The sequence below is a fragment of the Homo sapiens genome, chromosome 13, assembly GCF_000001405.40.
Source record: "Homo sapiens chromosome 13, GRCh38.p14 Primary Assembly".
NCBI classification, from domain to species: Eukaryota; Metazoa; Chordata; class Mammalia; order Primates; family Hominidae; genus Homo; species Homo sapiens.
Genome location: NC_000013.11, coordinates 77035532 through 77054832, shown reverse-complemented (window position 1 = coordinate 77054832; position 19301 = coordinate 77035532). Strand labels below are relative to the sequence as shown.

General features: G+C 40.6%; 1 protein-coding gene across 1 annotated transcript in view; it reads left to right on the top strand.

Annotated features, from left to right (window-relative positions):
- Nucleotides 1-10176, top strand: part of MYCBP2 (MYC binding protein 2) — a 282438-nt gene extending 272262 nt beyond the window's left edge. The window contains exons 81-83 of the mRNA NM_015057.5: nucleotides 2915-3022; nucleotides 3671-3836; nucleotides 9340-10176. Coding sequence (NP_055872.4) covers nucleotides 2915-3022; nucleotides 3671-3836; nucleotides 9340-9455 — 390 coding nt within the window. The 3' untranslated portion in view covers nucleotides 9456-10176. The remainder of the gene's footprint in view (nucleotides 1-2914; nucleotides 3023-3670; nucleotides 3837-9339) is intronic.

Sequence of the window (19301 nt, the reverse complement as noted above, 5' to 3'; positions counted from 1 at the left end):
GCTCTGGAGTTTGAGACCACCCAGGGCAAGATGGCAAAACCCCATCTCTACAAGAAATACAAAAATTAGACAGGTAGGTTGGCATCTGCCTGTAGTCCCAGCTACTTGGGGGACTGAGGCAGGGGAATCGCTTGAGTCCAGGGGGTTGAGGCTGCAATGAGCTGTGTTTGTGCCACTGCAGTCCAGCCTGGGTGACATAGTGAGACCCTGTCTCAAAAAAAAAAAAAAAGACTTTACCAATCTCTGATCTTTATTGACAAAATCCTATCAATTCTGTCTCCAGATCTCTCTTGAGTCCTTTTTTCTTTCCATTACATCTCCAGCAAACCTAATCATTTTCCTTGGTAATTACAGTAGCCTTCTTCCTGAGCTCGGGTGTAGAACCCCTAATTCCTCTGTTGCATCCCTTACACTGCTGCTAATTAATACTTCTAGATCTAAAATCTAACTGGATCACTCTTCTACTTATAATACGGTAGCCCAGTCTCCCTCTCCAGTCTCATCTCCCAAGATGCTACCATTTGCTCTCCATTTGCTGCCACATACCAAATAACTTGCATTTCCCAAACTCAGCCCTGTCTGCTCACCCACTGACACCCCCATGCCATTGCACAGGCCATTGGTGTTTAAAGGATGCTCTTCTCTACCTCCCCCTGCATATTTTACTCTGACCTGCCACCCCCAACCCCATACACACATGCTGTCATGCAGAGCCTAATCTGTCTTGTCATACCTCGGGCTTCAGCTCAGGTTTCACCTCCTCTGTAACATACCCCCATCTCACTTCCATCAACACCACCACCACATGATTTTGGTATCTTGCAGGCATCTAGCATAGAACTCCCTATTCTGCATTATGACTACTGGACCACTTATCTCTCTGCCCTACTTGATAAGTTCCATGAGGACAAAGAGTATGTTTTTTCATTTTTCTATCTCTAGTACTTTGCACTTACTAGATACAAAGTTAAGTGGAGAATGAATAAATGAGTGAAAGAATGACTACATGAGAAAGGTGCATAGTCTCCCAATGTAGCAAAAAGAAAATACAGAGGATGAATGGATGTCTAAGTAGAGAGATGATAGCCAGAAAGGCAGATAAATACATGCACACCCAATAGTGCACATTTATGAAGCTTGTATTGTTACAAATAATAAAATAGTATTTCTGTGTGTTTCATGTACTAAACATTATAAATGAATATTGTGCTATTACAGGGTAGCAGTCAAATGCTTAGGAAGCCAAGCAGAGGATATAGAAAAGTGAAACAGCTGGAGTAAGCAGTCCCCAAGACAAACCGAAATACTTCCAGGGTTAGGTTTAGCTGGTGAACGACCGTTTATAACCTCTGCATCAATGGATCCTGTCTTTGGACCTGTTTTTCTAGTATAGATAATAGATTTATATTGACTCAGTTTGTTTATTCCCAATCCGGACATAGCTTTTTGACTATGAGACAATCAGTGCATGCAAATTGTCCCAGTTCCTTGGCCTCACTTAATCTCTGCCCAGGGCAAATACAGATAAATCACCCATCATGATATTTTTATTTATTCATGATAATTTTATTTATTCAAATTCTATTTATGCAAGTGTCTGTATTGGAAACTGTTGAGTTCCTGCCTACTGCATAACTTTATAACTATGAGCAGAATTCTGAACAGAATTATCAAATTTGCCTTTTTTTTTTTTTTGAGACGGGGTCTCACCATATCACCCAGGCTGGAGTGCAGTGGCATGATCTCAGCTTACTGCAGCCTCCACCTCCTGGGCTCAAACAAGCCTCCCACCTCAGCCTTCTCAGTAGCTGGGACCACAGGTCCTCACCACCACGCCTGGCTAATTTCTGTGTTTGTTTGTATTTTTGATAGAGATGGGTTTTGCCATGTTGCCCAGGCTGGTCTTGAACTCCTGAGCTCAAGGAATCTGTCTGCCTCACCCTCCCAAAGTGCTGGGATTACAGGTGTGAGCCACCATGCCCAGCCGGCCTTTTCTTCTTAAAAAATGTGTGATCAGAGGATGCTTAAAATTACTTTTTTCTTTCCCATTAGCCTTGGAATTATAATTCTATACTAATTACTTTATGTATATTTTGTTCTACAGTATTATAAATTGGGAACTGCTAAGCATATTTATTAAAACAGTAGAAGGGGATATGTATTTTAATATTTCAAAATGAGAAAAATTTCTCAAACTTTACCCTGAAAAAAGCATAGCTTTTACTACTTAATATTCTGTTGATATTTACTTGGAATATTATACTTTTTTGTTTTGACAGGACAATGTAACTGCCTACTTTAAGCTTGAATCCATTTGAGAGTCGAAATAGCTTTAGGCCAGGCATGTGGCTCATGCCAATAATCCCAGCACTTTGGGAGGCCAAGGCAAGAGGATCACCTGAGCCCAGGAGTTTGAGACCAGCCTGGGCAGCATAGGGAGACTCTGTCTCTACAAATAATTAAACAATTAGCCGGGTGTGGTGGCGTGCACCTATGATCCTAGCCACTCAGGAGGCTGAGTTGGGCGGATCGCCTGAGCCCAAGAGGTTGAGGCTGTCGGGAGCCATGATTGCGCCACTATGCTCCAGCCTGGGCAACAGAGTGAGAGCCCGTCTCAAAGAAACAGAGAGAGAGGTGGAAGAGGAGAAGAGAAGAGAAGGGAAGGAAGGGAAGGAGGGAAGGAAGGTAGGAGGGGAAGAAAGAAAAAGAAGAAATAGCTTTATTTCTTACCCTGATCCACCCTACATACAGTCAGCAAGCAATATGGGCATGCACTTGGCATTTCAAGGGATGGTCTAGTAGATAATGGTATTTTCTAAAACCCCTAGATCTTACTTTCACTATGCCCATACTGTATCTCCCATGCCAGAGTTTTCTTTTTTCCTGCTGTAATCTAGATGTGTTTTCTCCACAGGCATATTTTGGTGGTGAAGCTCGCTGCGATGCTGAGGCTGGACGGGGAGATGATTATGATCCCAGAGAGCTCATTTGTGGTGCCTGTTCTGATGTTTCCAGGGCTCAGGTAGGCAGAACATTTTATTAGAAACAACAGTTTAGAAATGTTAAATAGTATTATTTTTTAAACAATAATATGGTGGGAATGTAAATCAGGCTTTTCTCCTCAGTATTTTCTGATATTTGTTCAGTGTTGTATAATTTTTCACATTATTTCATATATATTATTTCCTTTGGGCGATATTTTTATTTTATAATTTTGTCTTCCATGAAATGATCACCATAGTTAAACAATGTAATAAATTTTCTTATTTTCTTAGTTTCTTAAACGTGCAGTGAAACTTTTAGGTTTTCCCCTCTTCAGTGAAATGTTCACAGTACATCTGTGAGATTATAAGAGAGGTTAATTTCATTAATTTTCAGTTTGACCAGCCATAAAACATTCATAAAGAAATTAAGTACCTTGCTTATTAAATCAGATAGATTATGATGGAAATGGAATTAGAACTTGGATCTTTGTCCAGACCTTTTGGACAGGCCACATATTTATTTGTTAGTTTTCAAACATGTGTATCATCAGTTTTTCAATCAATTTTTAGAGTTATGTAGGCCCTCAAAATATGAATTAAGGAGCTGTCTATGTATATGCCTATCTTAAGTGTGATTGAAATAGTCTCACTATGATCTTGTGTCTGTCTCTTCTCTTTTGCTATAGATGTGTCCCAAACATGGCACAGACTTTTTGGAATATAAATGTCGCTACTGCTGTTCAGTGGCTGTTTTTTTCTGTTTTGGAACAACACATTTTTGTAATGCTTGTCATGATGATTTTCAAAGAATGACTAGCATTCCTAAGGAAGAACTACCACACTGTCCTGCAGGTATGCTTTTAATATTTTAAAATCACGATTATGATCTATATACCATAGTTTTATGTAAACATTATATGAAAGCTCTGTTTCAAGTGACAGAAACTCAATTCAAACTAGCCTAAAGAAGCAGGAGGAATTCCTTGATCCTTGTAAGCTTATGACTTTCTGGGTGAATTAGGAAGCAGGCTCATCATCATGAGTGAGAAGTTAGCTGTGACGGAGCAGATCTCATGGGGAGTGAGAATGAAGTCTACTAAGGATTGGTGAAAAGATGGCTGTTCAGCACTAAAAAGTCATATGAAGTTCAATATTACAGAACCATTTAAAAGGATTCTGTGATTTTTTTTTTTTTTTAACGAAGCCTGGAACCGTTGCCATAAAATGAACCAAGTGATTTAATCTAGAATGGCTGGGAATCAGTAGTGTAGTGAGCATCAGAAAGTCAAGGGAATTAAAGAAACCACTCAGAATACAGGAGAAATTATTGTCTATGGAAAGCAGGCTGAGGGGAAAGAAGTATGAAACCAAAAAGAAGCTGAAAATACTGGAAGAGGACAGGAGGCTAGTGGCAACGGTGAGGTGGAATACCAGGCTTCACGGAAGTGAGAGAAGTGGAAGGAGAGGTCCGTGCAACCATAGGAGAGAATTTTACATAAGATATATCTGAAATTAGTGAAAATACATGCACAAGTACATACAACACAATATACCGTGTTGTCAAAGCTAGAAAACACACACTGCCATCTGCTGCCTATCAGAGTGCAAGTGATAGACCTCTCCGGAAAACAGCTTAATAGTGCCTCTCAAAATTACCAGCGTATCAACCCTTCAGCACTCCCTCTTCAGGGATATAGCTACAAATGTGAGGACAGTAAAAAAGGGCAAATAAACAAGGTTATTAACTACAGCTTTGCTATGATAATAAAAATGTATAAACAATGCTAGTGTCCAGTAGGGTAGTGGCTAATATTACGCATCAGTTTAAAAAAAAAAAAGAGTGAGGATGGTGTTTCTGTGTGCTGATTTGGAAAGATCTTCAGGAGATAGCATCAGATGAAAAAAGTAAATTAGGCCAAGTGGTGTGACTGACACCTGTAATCCCAGCACTATGGGAGACCGAAGCAGGTGGATCACTTGAGGTCAGGAGTACGAGACCAGCCTGGCCAACATGGTGAAACCCCATCTCTACTAAATGTACAAAAATTAGCCAGGCATGGTGGCGGGTACCTGTAATCCGAGCTACTCACGAGGCTGAGGCCAGAGAATCACTTGAGCCTGAGAGGCGGAGGTTGCAGTGAGCCAAGATTGCGCCACTGCACTCCAGCCTGGGCGACAGAGCTGTTTCAAAAAAAAAAAGCAAATTGCAGAACAGAGTATGCAGTATGCTGCCTTTTGTAAGAGGGAAAATGAGACTATCTAGTCATATTTGTTTATATTTACATAAAGAAACCCCTGGAAAGATACTCAAGAAACTAATACTATTGATTAACTATTGGGAAAAGCAAGAAAAAGATGAGGGTAGAGACTAGGGAAAGTTGCTTCCAATTGTGTTATCATTTTTAACATTTTGATTTTAAACCATGTGAAACATATACTATCCATTTCAAAATAAAGATAAGTAGGGTTTTTTCAAGTATGACTACTTTTTACCATTTGCTCATGTCAAATAAAAATTGTTTTACTGTTTCTCCTCAAATACTGTTTTTTTTTAATAGAAGTAGCAGGCTTTGAAAGAAGCAAGGCCAGAATGATGTGAAGCCAGGTTATGGAGGATAATGGACAGAACAGAGATGTGAGCCATGCTTGGAGGGAGGGGGTGATGTGCTGGAGGTCAGCAAGTGAAGGGAGTGTGGAAAGGGCAGTATTCTAGATGACTCTAGATGACTTGAGCTTGGAGGAAGGGCAATTATTGAATGAAAGTTGTAGGTTGTGGTCTGGAAAGAAATAGGAGCCAAGAGAAAAATCAGTCACACGTTGTAGCCATATGACCTGGAGGAGCTTGGGAGATAACCAGCCTCCAGTTGAGAAAGATTTAAGGCAAGCAGTATCTTCAGGGGAAATCTAGATTTTACTTAAAGTTTCCTCTATGTTAAAAAACAGAAATAAGAATGCTAAAAATAAGGAAGTTAACAATGAAACACTTTAGAGAACTCAGTGGTGGGTAGTAGCTGAGAGAGGAGGGTCAGGTTTCCTCACAGGATCAGGGCAGCCAACACAAAGGAATCACAGGAGGGAGGCGGGGGAGGAGCCAGAGTTGGCAGAAGGAAGGAATGACCTCGGTCCTGGGCATTTTCACACATATTTGCTCCATTTTTACAATCTGCGAGTAGATGGTATTATCCCTATGTTATCAAATGGAAAATTGAGGGCTAGGGAGGTTAATGAACTGGCCTAAGAACATACACTGAGATTGAGGTATACTCTCCCAGCCTCACACATCCCTCTAACTCATCCATTCATTTAGAGAACTGGAATAGAATAAAGGAGATCCCACAGGGATGTGAGTAGGGAAGATGGCCATATACAGTTTACTTAGAAGGACAGAAGAAGCAATTCTCTAACCACTCTCAACCCTGTTAATTCTAATATTTTTAGATAATCAGTCTTCATCCATTCAAGCTGCTATAACAAAATACTGTAAACTGGGTAGCTTATAAACAGTGGAAATTTATTCTCACAGTTCTGGAGACCAGGAAGTCTAAGATCTAGGAATTAGCAGTCGAGGTGTCTGGTGAGGACCCACTCTCAGCCTCATAGGTGGCACTTTCTTGCTGTCGTGGAAGGGCAGGGGGCCTCTCCTGGGTCTCATTGATAGGAAGAGCACTAATCCCATTCATGGATTCCACCCCATGACCTCATCACCTCCCACAGCTCCACCTCCTAACACCATAACATTGGTGTTAATGTTGTAGTCTCAGCAGTGCACCAAGATATAACAGTCTCTCATTGTCTGAGATAATGCCAGGAGTTCTTTGTCCTACCTCCAAGAAGATTAAGGAGCACAGATACAAAGGTGAGGTTAGAGCGAAAGTTTAATAAGCAAAAGAAGAAAGCTCTCTGCCAGCAGAGAGGGGGGCCCAAACAGGATGCTCCCGTGAGGCTGGGGCCCAGGGTTTTTATGGACTGGAAAGGGGAAGGAATGTGCTTAGTCTGTGGGCTGTCTTGGCCCGCAGCGTGACTCAGCTTGGCCCGGGACCCTGGCCCAGGAACCCACTGGAGCCCACTGTGCCTATGCCCACAAAAGGAGAGAGCCCCCTGACTATACAAAGGACAAAGGCATTTCTATCCCAGGTCTTGTCCTTTATCTGATTGAAGGTTTTTCTGTCTGTGCAGCCGTGGGCATGTCTTTAGGCACAATGCCCTGTGCTAGTTCCCTCATCGGTGCCTGCAGCTTGACTTTTTTTCCCCAACTGCTTTTTATGTTATATGGGGATGAGGCACTGACCTGTGGACCTGGGGCTCTCTGGGGACCCTTCCCTTGCTATCTACCTAAGGCAAACTAACTCCTTTCATTAACACGTCAGTATATAAATTTGGAGGAGCACAAAAACATCCAGACCATAGCATAATCCCTCTATCCATTTCTTTCTAAAATATTTATTGACTACCTTCTCGTGCCAGGATACTTAATCTTCACAGCACCCCATGAGTTAGGTATTGCTGTGTCTATTTTAAAGATGAGGTATCTAAGAATCAGAAAAAATAATTTTACTTCAGTTTCATATCTACAAAATGAGGATAATCGTTTCTGCCTCCTATGACTGTTAAATGGTTAAGTAGCTGATATACTAGAACAGTGCCTCAGTAGTAAGCACTCAGATGTTTGCAGGTGTGTTTTCACTATTTTTATTTCTCACCACCATGTTGGATTGTGAACACCTTGAAGATGGGAGCCATGCACTTTTCATCTTTAATCCCAAGTACCTAAGAATGCCCTTCATATATTAGGCATGCGGTAAATATTTGTTGAGTAAATGACTCATTTTTTCCTTGAAAAAACCCAAGGGCTGCAGTTTGTGTCACCACCATTGATATGTTGTGTATCTGAACTAGATCTGCCATTGAGTGTCCCCATCCTGCGCACTCTCCCCCACCCACTGGTGGGGTGGGCACCAATCTGCAGTGTGATTTGGAGCAGGAGCTACTGAACTACTTTCTAACAGGAATAATTAACTTTCTAGCAAACCTCTGGCATCCTCCCATGCTGACCCATCCTGAGGTCTGTGCCTGCATTTGTCTGAGGTGGCACTCATTGCCACTCTCATGCCTGTTAGCTCTAACCTGAAGTTGACTTCTCTGAGATTAGCTGTCTTCAGTTTGACACTCTAATGTCTTGGTCTTACTCTTGTACAGAACTTACTTTTTATTCCTCTAGATCAGGCCTCAGTTTGTGGTTGTTCAGTAATAGTAGTAATAGCCAACATTTATTGGGTATTATACTGTGCAGTCTAAGAGCTTTATAAATGCTAGCCTTTTATCCATCATGGTTTCCTTCTCTTATGTCAGAAATGTTTTTAAACCTAGAAAAGGTAAAGTAAATGAGACGTCATTCCTCATTGATCAGTGTAAGCTCATTCCATCCAATCTCGTGATATTTTTCTCTCAAGCACAATCAGAATTTAGATTTATTATTTTGAAAACTAGCTGTAGAAAACTAATGCAGAGTTCCTATTCCTTCATCTACTATTAAATAGGGACTCTGCTTTCAAGTATAAGCCTAGCGTGTTTTTCTGACAAAGTAAGCCTCCTGGTTTCTAAAGGAACTAAAAATCTTTTCTAAATGATATGAAACCCATGACGTGAAGCACATTAATATAATAATTTTCTTTTTTAAAATACTGTTTTTGGTACATTTGATAGGCCTACTTTGATTATTATCAACAAATTCATATCTTCCCCAAAGTGTTTTTTCCACATTGTATTTTATAACATTGTTCATGTTTTTAACCTGATAACTTTCATTTTCCTGCTAATATCCTTCAGGTACTTTTAAAAATTACAGGAATCATTGGCCTTCCCATTTTACCAGTGTGGGCTTTTTCATCAGTAAAAATAAAAGGGAAAACATGGCTTCTTTAAACTTAAATGTTTTTACTTATAGAAAAACATTCTACACAAAAATCTCCCTGTTTTCTATTCAGAAAAATAATGTTCTGCCAGACTAAATTGAGGGGTTTTGTGACCTTTTTTGTTCATTACTCTGTTTTAAAATGATATATCTGATGCATTTATTAATAGAAAAAGATCTGTAGCTCGAAGTGATCCTCTCTAGGCAGGATATAGTGAGTAAGGGACCCCATCACTTCTTCCATTGTACATATCTGTGTTGAATTTTTTATAGTGAACATTTTTTACTTTTGTGATCAGAAGAAAAATTTCTAAATGTTATATTTGTATAACCATAGTCATGTTATTTCTTTGAATAACCTATCAGTGATTTATATTTCTGTGAGGTTTATATGTGTGTATTCTTAAAACATTATTTTCCTTTGCCTCCTTCAAATTTATACAGGTCCCAAAGGCAAGCAGTTAGAAGGAACTGAATGTCCACTCCATGTTGTTCATCCACCCACTGGGGAAGAGTTTGCTCTGGGATGTGGAGTGTGCAGAAATGCCCACACTTTTTAGAACACGCAGATCCTTTGTCTACAGAGAGAAAAATTGCCTTCATCCCCCAAGAGGATGCGGTGAAGTTTAAACTCTGCTCAGGATAAGGACGGGACCATTTTTACATCCATGAAAATGAACCATTCACAGTGCAAGAAGGATACCAAATACCATGTACATAATTCTTGCTATGAAAAGTTTCCCCATTATTTTGGTTTATCTTCTTTTGAACAAATGACATCAAACTTGTGAGGTGTTTGCATGTGGCCATTACCGTCATTGGCCTGTGAAGCATTGGACATTTATAGATAATTGATATAAAAGAATCGCCATGCCCATGGACTAAGAACGATGCTGGCTTTCAAGCAAAAAAGAAAAATAATCATTGTTTATTGTATACTGCCTTTTTGTAATCCTGTACAATTGCATCACGGGTGGGGATAAAAAGAGGAATATTCTGGTTTATTTCCTAGACTGTTATTTAAAAAAAAAAAAAACATTGTGTTAGGACAGCATATAAATGTAATAAGTATCACACTGTATATAAACATATCAATGTTTGTCCTGTATAAGAATTACTAAATTACAAATGCAATTTCATTTAAACTTCTAGGTTAAGTTTGAGCCTGAAATTTTAATGAAGTGCAATACTGAGTGTGCCTCATTATCTTGCAGCTGTAAACATATTGGAATGTACATGTCAATAAAACCACTGTACATTTTTATACAGTGATAAAGTCTACCACTGTGGGAGGTATTGTTTAAAAAACAAAATTTGAACACCTTTAAGGTCTAAAAGTCCAGTTTTCCTCAGAAAGAAATTTACTAACACAACACATTCATAATTTTCAAAACTGTTAGAGAAAATAAGAATAGTAATGAAGTGCAATGTTGGAATCTTAAACCCTAAGCAGAAGATCATAAATATATATATATATATTCGTAGGTAAATATATTCATACCAAAGACAGAAGAAAGCATTTAGGAAATTAACTTCTATTTTAACTAGCAGCATTTTTAACTTTATTTATTTATTTATGAGACAGGGTCTTACACTGTCACCCAGGCTGGAGTACAGCGGCGTGATCTCAGCTCACTGCAGCCTCCAACTGGGCTCAAGCGATCCTCCAGCCTCAGCCCCCTGAGTAGTTGGGACTACAGGCATGCACCAGCACCATGCCCAGCTAATTTTGTAATTTTTGTAGAGATGGGGTTTTGCCATGTTGCCGAGGCTGGTCTCAAACTCCTAGACTCAAGCAATCCCCACTGCTTTGGCCTCCCAAAGTGCTAGGATTACAGGCGTGAGCCATTGCACCCAGCCCCTTTTTGAAGTTCATATAAAGTAATAAAATCACTAATTTTTTATTCATTTTCTATAGACAACGGTGTGTTTAGGTACATCTTTTTGACACTCGAGTCATGAAATTGCCAAATTATTGATTGTTGACTCATCATACATCAGATTAGCAAAACTTTTGTTGTTGTTGTTGTATTTGAGACAGTCTCACTCTGCTGCCCACACTGGAGTGCAGTGGCACCATCTTGGCTCACTGCAACCTCCACCTCCCAGGTTCAAGCGATTCTCCTGCCTCAGCCTCCCAAGGAGCTGGGACTACAGGCGTGTGCCACCTCACCCAGCTAATTTTTGTATTTTTAGTAGGGATGGGGTTTCACCAGGCTGGTCTTGAACTCCTGACCTCAGGTGATCCGCTCGCCTCCGGCCTCCCAAAATTCCGGTATTACAGGCGTGAGCCACCGCGCCTGGCCAAGACTAGCAAAAGTTTTAATCACATTTTGTTCTAAATTCCAACTGTGGGAAATATAGAACTTAATTTGTCAATATAGAATTACTGACAAATTTAATGACATTTGTGTTAAGCATTTATGAGAAATTTAAAACAATCTTTGCCTTGAAGGAACTTAAAAAATAAAGATCAGATCTGAGCACAGGTAACTATTTTACAGAATGTTCTAATAAGTTTCATAAAAATATCCAAGCCAAATGCTTCAGGATTTAGGAAAAATCATTATTGTTTTGTCGTTGGGAGTGTAGCTAAGAGGCCATTTAAGCTGCCTTTTGAAGAATAAGTAGCATTTCAAGGAGCAGAGATGTGGAGAAAGGCATGAGAAATACCTAAGTAGGAAAATCTAGAATATGATCAAAGAACAGTAAGTATGAGTGTTCAAGCTTAGGATTGACTGAAAATGTTTCCAGAAAACACAAAGTACGTAGAGAGACTAAAGCTGTTACAAGAAAACTGGAGGGGAGAATGCAGTGAGGACACTGTCAGTATATTTGACTTGACACTGTCAGTATATTTGACTTAAATTCACAGGCCACAGGAATGAAACTAACCTTGAGAATGCCACACAGATAAGAGACTTTATGGACACTTAATAGCTGCGAAGAATACCATCTTGCGTCAGTTAACTTTGCTGGCAAACTGGTCAGCTCAGTTTGTAAATCGTAGAGGAAAAGAAACAAACTATTGAGATGGCTTGGCTAAAAAAGCCATCTCAAGTTATGAAAGGGATAAAATCAACAAAGCTGTGTAGTGAATACTCACAATGACTTCAACTTATCTTCATTTATGAGGAAGTCACTTTTAGTCAGGATCTCTAGCACCTCAAAACCAGAGAACATAAACATCTTAGCAATAAATTATGACAAAGCACAGGAAGGAGTGGCTTTGGCAGGCATTTTTAGCTCAAGCATCCTACACACAAGGACCATCCTTCAAACACTGCATGTAACATCCAAGGCAGGAGACAGAAAGCAGAATCACAGTGGTAGATGTCAGTGAATCTTCCTGGAAAGAAATTGTTTTTCCGTTATATTTTCAAGCCTAGGAAAAGCCATTTTTCTTAGTATTATGGCTAGACTGTTTAGGCCTAAAATCTCCCTATTTTATCAATAAGCTTATTTGGTTTTGGTTTTTGGTTTTTTGAGTTTTTTGGGTTTTTTTTTTTTTTTTTAAGAAAGGGTCTCACTCTGTCGCCCCAGCTGGAGTGCAGTGGCGTTATCTCGGCTCGCAGCAACCTCTGCCTTTTGGGCTCAAGTGATCCTCCCACCTCAGCCCCAAGTAGCTGGGAGTACAGGCACGAGCCACCATGCCCAGCTAATTTTTGTAATTGAAACAGGGTTTCACCATGTTGGCCAGGCTGGTCTCAAACTCCTGAGCTGAAGCGATCTACCTGCCTCAGCTAGGATTACAGGTGTGAGCCACCGCACCCAACCTCAATAAGCTTATTTGATAAAATATATGCAATGCTCCCTTTATTCACTTTTCATTCAGAATGTTTAGTAATTTGTATTGTTTTTCAGATTTTCAGCCCAATATATCTCCCTGCCCACTGTGTCACTGTATTCTACCTATACATCATCACGTGTTTCTGCTATTGGCTGTATGATGGAACACTGCGGCTCATTTTCCTGAAAACTGCCGATAGTGCATAGAGTGCTGGGATGGAAACCAGAAGCTTTGAATTCAAGCCTTGGTTCTGCCTTGTTTTTGCTTGGGTGGCCTTGAGTCAGCCACATACCTTTTAAAATCTCAATTTATTAGAAATTATTCCAAATCAAAATCAAATGAGAAGGTATATACAAAAGTGCTTTATCCCACAATAAACTATTCAAGAGAGAGCAAAGGAGAGGACATTTACTCAACACCTCCTAAAAGGCAGCCAGTGAAATTAGGCATTTTATTTAATCCTCCTGGCAACTCTGAGAGTAAAGCATTATTAATCCCATTTTGGCTGTTTAAAGAAATTATTTGCACTAGATTCCAGCTGTAGTTTAGCTTCAGAAAAAAAAATCCTGAGATGTGAATTCACAGCTTTCTGGGTTTAAAGCCCAAGCTCTATCACATCATGCTATTATTGTTACATTACTGCTAGTTCTATGAAAAGAAATACTAATTTATGAAATACATCTTATCCAAAATGGTTGGGACCAGAAGTGTTTCTGATTTCGGGTTTTTTCAGGTTTGGGAATATTTGCATTACCAGTTGAGCATCCCAAATCTGAAATCCAAAATGCTCCAGTGAGCATTTTATTTGGGTATCAGGCATGTCAGTACTCAAAGTTTTAAATTTCAGGACACTTATCGTATGGCCAAGGTTGCACAGGGGACAAGACAGCATATGCCTCCAAGAGTGTTCAGTGTCGTCAGGAGGTACCTCCACCCAGATTTCCCTTCAGGGGAGGCCCCACCTCAAGGAGTCCAGTTAGCTGACAGCCTCCAGCTTTAATCACCCCCACATATGACCCAATGTCACACTCCTCCAGGGCAGCCCCAGCCTGTGATAGAGTTCAGATGGGGTTCTCGGGCCTGGCCATTTCTGCCCAAGCGGCACTCCTGCGTGCGCGGTCTTGCGTAAGAACTCAGGCCGACTGAGACTGTCTTACAGCTGCCCTGCAGTCGGAGGCTTTTCCTACCCAATCTTTCCTTCTCTCTTCTTTCCTAGATGCCAGACCTGCATCACAGTCTAATGGCTCTCCCTGCCCACTCCTGCTCCCTCATCACTTTATCTTTCATAGGGATTACCCCCAACAGATTTTCTGCACTTCTAACTTAATCTTGGCATCTGCTTCCTAGAGGACCTGCCTGACACAGGAGGGTAATACATTTTAAATGACTTACTTATGGCTTCATTTCTCAAATGTCTTAGGGTGGCTTAGAAAAAAATAACAAGACTACAAAAAGATATACGCTGGAGGGAGTTACAGTGAAGAAAAATTATGAAAGAAAAAGCCAAGGTTAAAGATTAGTGTCTCGCTGTAACCATACAATGTTATCAAATTGCTCAAGAAAAGGCCATCAATTTTACAGTAAGTTTCTCCAGTAACAAGCAAGGTCAGAGATATCTTCATTTAAAACATACAATGTTCATCTGTTAATTTAAAAAAAAAAAGCCAACGCAGATAGTCTTTCAGGATAGATCAGTTTTGACAAGCAAAAGTGGGAAAGGGCATTCCAGGGAGAGATGATGGTGAGAACTGAGGCATTAACGTGTTCCTCAGAAGCACCAGGTAAGCTGTTTTGCTTCGTTAATTTAATAAATATTTGAACACCTGGTCTAGGTCCACACTTGACAGTACACTCTCATGAGGGTGTTTAGTAACCACGACTTCTACAGAGAAGGCGCTTGATGAATGAACTGCATGAGAGTCTGTCAAGATGTGTGGCGCGCTCTGCCAGGTGGTAGGATGAGACAGCCATGGAACACAAATACAGAATCCTGCAAATAATTCAATGTTATTAAGGACCTTAATCCAGGTTTTATAACCATTAGACAAAGCATTTATTGAGGGCTTACCGTGGCCCTGCACAGTCATGGCAGGCAGAATAACCATCCCCCCAAATCTGTCCACGTCTTAGCCCTTGGGATGTGAAGATGTTGCCTTACATGGCAAATGGACTCTGCAGATGCGATTAACGGTACAGATCTTGTGATGGGAAGAGTACACTGGATTGACCCCATGGGCCCATGTAATCACAAGAGTTCTAATATGGGAAAGAGAGGCAAGAGGGTCACGGTCAGAGAAGGAGATGTGAGGATAGACGCAGAGGCCAGAGATAGAGACTTGAAGATGCTACACTGTCGGCTTTGAAGATGGAGGAAGGGGCCAGGCACCAAGGAATGCAGGTGGCCTCTGGGAGCTGGCAAAGGTGAACACAGGTTCTCCCCTGGAGGCTCCACAGGGAATGTACACTCTGCTGTTAGTACATTTCAAAATTCTGATCTCCAGAACTACACAATCATAAATGTGTTGTTTTAAGCCACCGGGTCTGTGGCGATTTGTTACAGCAGCAACAGGAAAGGAATACAATGGGCTTCACAAGCATCATGATGTGTTCATCTTCCACAAACCTACAAAATATTATCCAAAATATTATCAGATGAGGCCACTGAGTCTCACCAAGAAAAAGAATGGAAAGTATTTCAATACTTTTTTATGTTGATTACACAGAGAATATTTTGGCTATACTGGGTTAAATAAAATAAATTATTAAAATTCATTCCAGCTGTTCCTTTTTTTAGTGGCTTCTAGAAAAATGTAAAATACATATGTGGCTTGCACGCATTTGTAATGAACAGTGCTGGTCTAGAATCTCATTCTCAACAGTTTGATTTTATCATCCATCATTGGAATTTTTTTTTTAGCAAGAGGTATGCACGAATGTGTGCTCTAGGAAGATGAGGCAGGAAGCAGGCCAGAAGGTGGCTTGAAAAACACCACCACTGGATAAGACAGTTGGGAAGTTATGGCTGTAATCTTGGAAAGAGTTGATAAAGGCTATAATCAAGAGTCACAAAACACACTTCCTTCCTTTGAAGAGTTTACAATCGAATCCTAGATAGAGTTAACACACAAAGAGGTGGCTTACAACGAAAAGGGTTTAGTTAAGCTGACTTGCAGAGCACATACAGTATGATTCCATTTACATAAAGTTATAAAAACAGGCAAAAAAACGAATGTATGGTGATAGAATTCAGAATAGTGGTTACCTTTGAGAGGGCATTGACTAGGACGGCGCATGAGGGAGCACTGGGTTACCGGAGTATTTTCTGTCTTAATCAGGATGGTGGTTACCCAGGCACAGTGTAGCAGTCCACCACACCGTACACTTAAGATTTGTGTACTTCACCGTTTATATATTATACCTCGGCAGGGCATGGTGGCTCACACCTGTAATCCCAGCACTTTGGGAGGCTGAGGCAGGCAGATCACCTGAGGTCAGGAGTTCAAGACCAGCCTGGCCAACATGGTGAAACCCTGTCTCTACTAAAAATACAAAAAATTAGCTGGGCGTGGTGGCAGGCACCTGTAATCCCAGCTACTTGGGAGGCTGAGGCAGGAGAATTGCTGGAACCTGGCAGGCAGAGGTTGCGGTAAGCCGAGATCATGCCATTGCACTCCAGCCTGGGCACCAAGAGCGATACTTCATCTCAAAAAAATAAATAAATAAATTATACCTCAGCAAAAAGAAAAAATAATGTCATAGAAGATGACTTGGATACAGACCAGATTATACATTAGTTTATAATGGCAGGCCTAAGAATTTCCCTTCAACCTTGCAAAGACGGAAGCACAGAATGCTTTCGAACAACAGGAATAATTGCAATCAGCGCTTTATGAAGATGAACAACACTGACCAGCCTTCCAAGGCCCAGCAAATACATCAGTCACTTCCCTCAATTATTGAAGTGGGAACAAATGACTTGGTGTCTGGTGGCGAATAAAGGTAGTGTCAATACAAAACCTTTGATTTAATGGAGCACAGCATATAATACCAGAATGGTGAGTTCCTAGAAAGAGAAGAAATATGTTCCCAGTGCCTAGAAAGAGGATTTAGTAGGAGATTCACTGGCTTCACACACAGAGTGAGGGACCTCATGCAAAGGCCCAGAAGAGAAGGGGTCCAGTAATTCCCAAGTGCACTAATGGAAAAATGGGTCCAATATTGATGTCCCACTGCATGGGGCATGCATAAGAATGTGACCTGGACATTTTAACACAAAAAAGTACAATCTCATGGTTATATCCAAGATATTACATGAAAGAATCAAGCACCAAAAGACTCCAATTAGAAAGTGCACTTTGTCTCAAAGAGTCATATCTATCAGACAAGTAGAAGGGGCAGCATGAAACAATGCTGCAAGTGTGTATGGTGTTTAATTCCTAAATGTCCACATGGAGGATGTGAACAAGAAATAAGAAAATCTGATGGAATTGTAGAAGGTCAACTGGGGTCAATTAATGAGCTGTGTGAAAGTGCCCACCTGGAAAGAATAACTCCAGCTGAAGCTGAAGATGTCTGTATTAGTCTGTTCTCACACTGCTATAAAGAGCTACCTGAGACTGGGTAATTCATAAAGAAAAGAGGTTTAATCAGCTCATGTTTCTGTGGGCTGTGCAGGCTTCTGCTTCTAAGGAGGCCTCAGGAAACTTACAATCATAATGGAAGACAAAGGGGAAGCAAGGACATCTTCAATGGCCAGCAGGAGAAACAGACTGAGTGGGGTGGGAGAGGTAGGTGCTACACACTTTTAAACAACCTGGGGGAAATGGTGCTAAACCATTAGAAACCACCCCTGTGATACATACAGTATTCTTTCACCAGACCTCTCCTCCAACACTGGGGATTACAATTCAACATGAGATTTGGGCAGGAACACAAAACCAAACTTTGCCAATGTCCATGCCTTTTAGTAAGTAAACTGTGTGCAAGTGGACATTCAAAACCTACACACAACTTGGGGCCTGATCAAAAGTAATCATATCTGTGTCATTGTGAAGTAATATGGGGTACATTTGAAAAACAGGCAGCTAAAGAGATTTTTGCCCTTCTGGATTTAGTTTTAACCAACAAGAATGGAACTGATTGGCAAAGTGGACATGACAGGAGCTGAGGTCCTTAAACCTGAATGTCATATAGGAAAAATGCCACGTGCCTAAAAAGGGAGCATGGCTTAATATCATTTACTTTAAAGGCAAAAGTAAAGGCCAGGGGTAAAAATAACAAAGAAATCCCTTTTGGTTACACCTACAAAAAAATACTCTAATGAATCCCTGTGGAACAAATATCCTTGGCAATGAAACAAATATTATTGGTAACTAGTGAGCCCATCACAGGGGCTATTCAAACAGAGGCTAGGCTGATGGACATCTGTCAGGGATGCTGTGTTACAATGGCAGAATGAATGGGAAACCATCCTCTATTGGAAGGGAGTAGAGGTGGCAATCTGAAATTTTATAGAATCTTTTTTCTATCTGCAAGGCTAAATGAGAACTATTTGCAGCTGGTGTGCTGTTTCTTGACATGCATGCCAAGTCCAGAAAATAGTCAAGTGCATTTTAGTGCTTGCCTGGGTTACTGCTTTTCAAGGACAAAGCCAGTCCTGGCAAGAAAAACACTTTTCACATAGGCTGTTAGTGCCCCTTTGGTGGTGTTACTGCTGCTTAAGCCAGTGAGAGAGAAAACATTACAGCTCTTGCAGCTATGAAGGCCTAGAATTGAAACAGCCACTGCTGTCCTCACTTATCAAGTTAGGGCCAAAAATAATAGTGAGACAGGAGAATAGGGTCCGGAGGCAGGGAATCCAAGGCCAATTCAGGCTGACTTACTAGAACTAAATCAAAAGGAAACCCCCAACTTTCCACACCTAAGTAACAAAAGGAACAAAGGCTACTCCTTTTGCAACCCCCCTTTCTGCGTGGCAGATGAAAAATTGAAAGTACCTCTGATTGGTCCCCTCCCACAATCAATTAGGCTGGTCATGGGCCAAGTCCTCATTTGTATGGGAGTATATAACTTTGTAACTTCAGCCTCTGATTGGTCACTTTCCACAACCAATCAGACATTTGCATAAAGTGTAACTTTGTAACTTTGCTTCAGCCTCTGATTGGTCCCCTCCCACAACCAATCAGACTGATCACAGACCACTACTTCATTGACATAGGGTGTACACCAAGTAACCAATGGGAAACCTGTAGAGGGTATTTAAACCCCAGAAAATTATGTAACCGGGCTCTTCAGCCATTTGTTCAGGCCCACTCCCACTCTGTGGAGTGTACTTTTGTTTTCAATAAATCTCCACTTTTGTTGCTTCATTCTTTCCTTGCTTTGTGTGTTTTGTCCAATTGTTTGTTCAAGAAACCAAGAACCTGGACACTCTCCACTGGTAACAATAGCAACAATGATGTAGCTAGCATTTACTGGGGATTTACTGTGTGCCTGCTACTGACCTTTTTGTTCTATGGATGTTGACACCTTTAATTTTCACGATAACCCTATGTGGTATATATTATTATTATTCCATTTAATTTTATTTTATTATTTTAGAGATAGGGTCTCACTC